A 7,642-nucleotide genomic window follows, 5' to 3' on the forward strand; every position below is an offset into this window, starting at 1 on the left:
ATGGCACTCCCCACTTTGCGTTCTGTCTCTCTCCTGCCACCATGTGAATAAGGTGCTTGTGTCACTTTCACCTTCTGCCAAGATTATAAGTTTCCTGAGGCCTCCTAGTCATGCTTCCTATACAGCCCACAGAACCAAGCCAATTAAACCTTTTTTCTTTGTAAATTACCCAGTCTTAAGTAGTTCTTCATAGCAGTGTGAGAATGGAGTAATAAAATTCACATATTTTTAAACTGTTTGGCTGTGTCCCAAACTGGAATATTACCTATTGAATATTGGTTGGTAACAATATAATTCAAGGTAAGTTAGCAAGACAGAATCACACTGGTCAAAGATTACTTCCAGAATAAAATGTGAACTTTTATGTGGCTTGTACATTTTATGTTTATAATTAATCTCATTGTGAATAAAAATAATATAAAACATAGCTGTAATGGTATTTATCAATAATGTATGTAGGCACAAAAAGTGTTATTAGAAAATGAAATATTTGTAATTTCATGTTACTGAGTTGTGCAGACTTTTTAAAGTGTCTTTATTTTCCAATATTTCTACAGAATTTAAAATTTCTATTATCATATTTTTAACTTTCATTTTTGGGCAAGTAAGTTTTTAATACAGTATTCTTTTATCACATGTACTTAAGAGGCTAAGAATATTAACAGTAATTTTTAATGTTTTATTATTCTAGCCTTATCTCTCTTTTCTTTAATTTGTACTTATTTTTGTTTTTTTTACTTCTGCTTTTGATTTTAGATATTTTCATAAATACTTGGTGACCCTTAGCTGTTACTTGTATTCAGTGATAGAAAATTAAGAAACTGCTCCAAAAAGACCATTTTCTATTCCCCCAACACACAAACACTCCATAAGATTACCTTTATGCATTTTCTCTTGGGTTCAATACATTTAAAGGGAAAACTTCCAGTATCCTACATTAATTTTAAACCTCCTAGTTACAAATGTTTTGTCTAGCATATGAAGAAAGTAGGTTGTGGCTTTTACATTTCAAAATTACATACTCAATGTCTGTTCTTTTGTGTGACACCTGAGTGCCCTATTTTACCTGACATCAGGAGAACTTCCCTTTTATCCTTTGCAGGGTATAACCTCCACACTTCTTTCAGGGATTTAGAGAAAATTCATATCTGTAAAACAGACCCATTGGCCTCTTTAAAAATGCTGCCACATAATCTTTTCATTTTAATTCTTCATAAAATCTCCACAGCCATATCTTCCTTAGTGTTTTGGAATTTTATGATATAAATTGATTTTCATTTTGTCTTGAATTCAAAACTTTTGGTTCAAATAAGCCAATTCTTATTTATCTTCCTTCCAGATCTCATTGTATATTGCCATTTTTTCCTCATCTTTGTTTTTGTCCTTGTGGGCAATACTTTTAAAAATCTCATTATGGTCATTTTAGTGATTTGCAGACATTGTGGATATAAATTGATGTGTTTAAGACACTTGTTTTAATCAGAGGATTTGCTTTTCTTAGGGACATTTTTATTTTCATGATAGATTGGTAAAATATTTCAACTTTGAGGAAAATGTGTATAACACGTTACAAGTATTACTACAGCTATTATATATATCCATATAAAAGGTACATATAAAAATGATTCTCAAACATGTTATAAAGTCATCAAGGTATAAGACATCTGCTAAATGGAAGGTTAAATGTAACATTTTCTTCCTTGCTACACCTTTGCTGGCATATTTTTATCACAATGTGTAATTTCTAGTAGTATTCCACCAGCAAAGATTAAGAAATAAGGACAATTTACTAAAATAGAAATTAATAAAGATGATCTGGTTTTTAACAATAGTATAGTAAAACATTTATTTTAAATGCCTTCTTGTACTTTCATCATTATTCTTCTGAGGCAATCATTACAAAGAGTGAAAGGAAGTGCTGGCAGACACATTTTCTTAATAAATAATTGCCTAGTTTTATGCTCACCATTACTGGACTTAGGCACTATATCCTGAGCTCTACAAGAGAGAACTAATGTATTATTAATAGAGCTTTATACAAATGTATTCATGACATCAGTTTGTCCTCTTTAACTATACCTCTGGGCATCCTGTGAATCATTTATGAGGAGGCCATGTGTCTCACAATTGAGAAGGTTGTAAATTTACCAAGCCAACCATGAGGAAGACACACACACACACACACACACACACTCACACACACACGTGACTTTTCATGAGAAGCAGTATGCCATTTGGTGGAATATGAATATTGAAACATCTAGCTCTATTAATTAGAAAATGCTTTTTCACATGAATAGATTTTAATCTGAGAGCTGGGAAATAATTATATTAAAATTGTATATGATGGATTATAGATTATATAAATGAGAAAATATAAATGACTAATAAACTAAAACTCAAAAAGTAAACAAAGTAAATTATCAGGCCACACTATCATATGCCATGTATATCATGAAAAAAAATCCAAAAGTATTAAGATAAGTAGGTGAACTCTTCTTATCAAATTATAAAACAACATAAAAATACATCATTGAGTACTATACTATCATACAACATGAAATATGTTACACCTTCCATAGAAATGCATCCTGTGTGGTGACAGTCACCGGTTAATTGTCATAAAAATTGTCTAAATACTGAGATGATAGCAGTAGTAGATACCCATTTCATCTATTTAAAAGGCAAATAGGTTTGAAATGCAGGGGAATAATTTGTTGTTTAGATTATGACTAAATATACATGTCATATTGTGAATATCCTATCTCTGACCATCTCTTTTTTTAAATGTGATTTATTATTTCCAATAGAAACAAATTTTGCTTATGGATATTTGCTGTTTTCAGAGACTAATCATAATATAAACTTTTTGCAGAAAAATAATTTTAATACAGACATCATAATAAAATGTTTCATAAAAATAAGAGAACATTGAACAAATAAAAAGATGATAATTCTAAAAATGAGCAAATAATGGAATATCTTTTCATTGGTTCAATGCAAAGAACACTTTTATTTCTAAATATTTTAGACTACCACCTCATATCATTCATGCTGTCAGTATTCATTGAAAGAGAATGTACTTAATTTGGTGACAAAAATATAAATTTACTTGGGAAAAAATATTAATATCAGCCACCTCTAAATATTTGAAGAATAGCAAAATACAAATCTTTAAGATTTTCTAGAACATAGGCAAAATTTTTCAAATACACATATTAAAATACATGACATTAATTCTGTGGTAACCCTGGGTGTCCATTGCCCACAAAAGATGTTTCTTTCTTAGCCAAAAAAATTTCAAGCTATATAAAAATGCTCGCTTGCCACTGAAGTTTACATGGATATTAAAATATGTAGTCAAAAAATAGTACTAGATAATTTAATGAGGTCTGTAATGTTTTTATATTTATCACAAAATATGATTAAGCAGAAAAAATTATAGCAAGTTAAAAATCATATACTTTATAGTAATACATAGCAAAAATATAAGGCCATTTTTAGGAGGAGTTTATTTTACATCAACTTTAAAAAGATGTTTGATTTGTAAATAGCACTTCTGTTCAAGTCAGTTTTAAAACTGACATACCTAAATTTTTAAAAATACGCATTTGAATTCCATTTGCAAAATTGATAAAAATATCTGAACAGATCTATGCTCTATAAATGATATTTAAGTATAAGTAATTTAACTGCAATTCCTTAAGTTCTTAGACCATCTGAATCACCTATGAAAAGAAGCTATCATTTTGTTGTCAAAATGAGTGATTATGACTTTTTATTGTCAAGAGAAAATGATTACAATTGTTTTAAACATGACTCTTATATTTTATAATTACACACACGCATTACATTTTTACAATTTTGTCTGCTAGAGGAGTCAGGATTCTGGTTATTATGAATAAAAGAATAAAAGAGTTGGGAATTTTAGCATTTAAAAATTTTATTACTCTAAAAATATAAATGTATTAATTTTTATAATGAACAGATGTGATCATTTACATATATTATTTCATTAAACCTCAGTAAAGAGGTCATTTTGATGGCATTTTATGGTGTACTTAACAATGACAAAATAATAATGATTTTAAAATCAACAGATATGTATTTATTCAATAAACCTGCCAATCTCTTCAGTTGTCGTACAGTTACTTACATATCTCTTTTCAATCCCTGTCACTTTGCAGAGTAAAAATTTTCCTGGTCTTTCCCAAGCAGATATTCAACATTAGTTAGAAAAATAATTTCTTATGTCTACATAAGATGGATAGAAAATATTCCAAACACATTAAACAGTCTAGAAATCATGATAGTAATTTCTTAAACAGTGTTTGATGTCCAAAGCTCAGCACTCTGCTTAGATCAATAGATGCGTACTGCCATCATGAACACATGAATTAATCAGTCAATTACTTAAAAGTTCTCAAAATTAGAATAATTTTCAGATTTTTATTTGAGAATAAAATAAAACTTCTATTGCCTCTTGTAGCTTTACAAACGTAAAGCAGAATTCAACTGAATAATAATTAAATATTTTAAATGCGAATTTCAGTTTATGTTACATTTTCAGTGGTTAACAGGAAAAATTAATTTTAAGCCAATTCAGAATACAAATATTTTCACAGAAATCAAGTCAAACTTTAAAACTACAGACTTTTCCACAATTCATAGTGAAAATTGAAGTGGGTTGTGGTGTTTTTTAATGGGACTATAGTCTTGTAAAAAGGAACAAAAGACTGATAGATTATCCTCCACCTATTTTACTTTTATTAAAATATAAAAAGTAAAGAGGCTGTTAAAATAGCCACAAGTTGTATACATCACCCAAAATTGATATGTATAAATACTTTTTCTGGTTCTATTTCCCAAAAGACATTTCAGAAAAAAAAATGTGTGTTGTTCCAGTGTATATTTTTACATATTGAATATATGCATATCCATAAGCATTTTATCAAAGTTTAACTGACATGTAAAAAGTTATAGTCATTTAAAGTATACAACTTGATAAGTTTGAGAATAAGTATACACACCCGTGAAACCATGACAACACACCATGGGTATAGATATATCCATCACCTCTTAAAGTTTCCTACCGCTTCTTTCTTTCTTTCTTTCTGTCTTTATTATAAGAACAAAACCTAAGATCTACTCTATTAAAAAATGTCAAGTGTGCAATACGGTACTTTTAGCTATAGGCACTATTACACTGTATAACGGACATCCAGAACTTATTTATCTTGCATAATAAACTTGGTAAGTTTGATGAATAAGTGTTTAATGCACATGAGTTATGTCCTATTATCCTGTCTCTTACCAACTTGCTATTACCATTTCTTATAATATTTTGCAAAAACATCCAGGTTGATACATGTGCATTAGGGATTTCTTTTTTTTTCTCTAAACTAGTCCATTCTTTGATCATGAGGAATTCTTTCTTTGATCATCGGTTATCTCTTTTTTTATATAAATTAATATTCATTATAGTTTGTCCATAATTTTATAGCCATTTTGATACTGATCCATTTGTCTTTTTCTTCTTTGAACATTTAGTAGGGCTTTTGTTTTATGACAATTATATTTTGAGTATGTTAAAATTGATCAGTTCTTTAAGATACTTGCTTTCTGCTTTTTTTTAACACATACTTCCATTTGTCAAGGTAAAAAGATATTTCCTTAGGTTTTTCTCTAAATACCAAATTATTTAATTTTCATGTTTGCACCATATTGAGCAATTTGATATCTAATTTCAATACAAGATTTTTGCTTCTGAGATCACCTAAATCCAGGTTATTGTCTCATGATCAGGAAAAATTAGGCACGTGGACACATTGAAGGGTGAGGAGGACAGAATTTATTAAGTGAAAGGAAAGCTCTCAACAAAGAGAGGGGTACTGCATGCAGGTTTCCACCTCACAAATTGAATACCAGGGCTACCACCTACAAGTTTAAGAGGCCAGGATCCTCCCCTGCATAAGGACCAAATTCCTGGTGGCTCCAGCCCATTCTCCTAGAGCATGTGGGCCTCCAGTCCACTGTGGGCATGCCCAGGCAAGCCTGCTGTGCAGGTTCCCTTACGTGCACAAAATATCTTGTGTAAACACCTGTGGGGCAAGTTGGAAATCCTCCAGGAACACTTCCCTACCTTCCTAGGCTTTTGGCTGTCTCTTGCCTCTATCATTTTGTTCTTTTCATATTTGTTCAATTTATTTTTTTGAAAAAAAATATTAAATAGTATTTTCCTGATTAATGCTTCTGCTATCAAATTGAAGTCTAATATATGTATATAGTTATCTTTCTGATTCTTTATGTCATCACATTAGTCTATTTTTAGAATCCTATGCAACCGATTGATTCTAATTAGTATGTTTTATCATATAGTCTTGATATGTAGTAAAAAATTTCCTCCATTGATGTATTCTTTTTTTTTCAGAGTGGCCTTGTCTTTGAAAGCCATCTAACTTACTGCTATTGGATTGTTTTTTGGTTTGTTTTCCTCAGAGGGAAATCTACTGTCTTTCAATCATGTATTTTCAATTCTTTTAATCATGTTTTCTGTAATTTTTGGTAGTTTTATTCTTAAATATTTTAGATTTTTGTAGCTCTTTTAAATGGTGTTCCTCTAGATTTTTTATTTTCTAACTAGTTATGAATGGTTTTTATGTATCTCTTCCTCCTTTCCTCCTCTTTCTATGCTATCGCTGTTCCTCACTCTCTGGTTCTTGCTCTTGCTCTCTGCCTGTCTTTCTCTCAGCTTATTGCCTCTGGCGTTCAATGCCAGTGGTGATGTCAGCCATTGAGTTGTCTTAGTAAAAATATCTCTCTTTTTCCTTCTGCTGCATCACACTTGATTCCTGACAGAGAGTATTCTAAGACCTCATGTGAGTAGATAGAATTCACCCTTACACTCCATGATACTCTCCAGATTTTAAAGTCCTTAACCTTAATCATATCTGCATCATGTTTGTCATGTGAGGTAGCATATACAGCTTTCAGCCAGTAGGGCATAGACAGCTTTGGGAGCATTTCTATCTATCATACACAGTGTAAAAGACAGAATCAGAGTCCCAGACTCAAAGTGTAAGTATCAGAAGTTTTGAAAGGTACAAAGTATTCAAATGGCCCATAAGAAATTGATGAGGTTATAATGAAATAACATTACAGCACAAAAACAGCAGTTACTGTGTGCCAATCACTATTGTGAACATCCTATATTTAATCCTCTCAGCAATCATGTGAGGTAAGTATGATTGGTGTCCCGGTTTTATACACACATAAACTGAAATGAAGATTAGTCAATACAATGCAAAAATGAAAAGAAGAGAAGAGAAAAAGATGGAAAGAGGAATAAATTAAGTTAGCTTTGATTTTCTTAAAGGGACAAAATACTACATTGTATCATAAACTGTGTGTTTCACCTCTTTGGTATTAGTGTTTCTTCTAGAAACAATATTTCTCAAATTGATATAATTTCTCTAGCTGGGTTATATTTATAGTTAATCTGCAACACTATTCATTTTCATCTATATTGGGTTACAGACAATTCCCTTTCACCAATGACAGTTATCAATGAAACAGGCAGATAGAAAAGAAATTGCTGCTTTAAATTGGAGAAAAATTGTCACAAAGGATTATTTTTCATATG

The 7,642-nt window shown here is 30.6% G+C and overlaps 1 annotated feature.

Annotated features, from left to right (window-relative positions):
* Window positions 5,679-6,878: an enhancer, noted in NCBI's record as "MED14-independent group 3 enhancer chr4:35521513-35522712 (GRCh37/hg19 assembly coordinates)". NCBI's record gives its function as "activates an origin of replication core promoter dependent on BRD2, BRD4, P300/CBP and CDK7 cofactors, and independent of MED14, by STARR-seq in HCT116 cells {active_cell/tissue: HCT116}" and the evidence as "EXISTENCE:reporter gene assay evidence [ECO:0000049][PMID:35650434]".

Source organism: Homo sapiens, chromosome 4 (assembly GCF_000001405.40).
Source record: "Homo sapiens chromosome 4, GRCh38.p14 Primary Assembly".
In the NCBI taxonomy this organism is placed as follows: domain Eukaryota; kingdom Metazoa; phylum Chordata; class Mammalia; order Primates; family Hominidae; genus Homo; species Homo sapiens.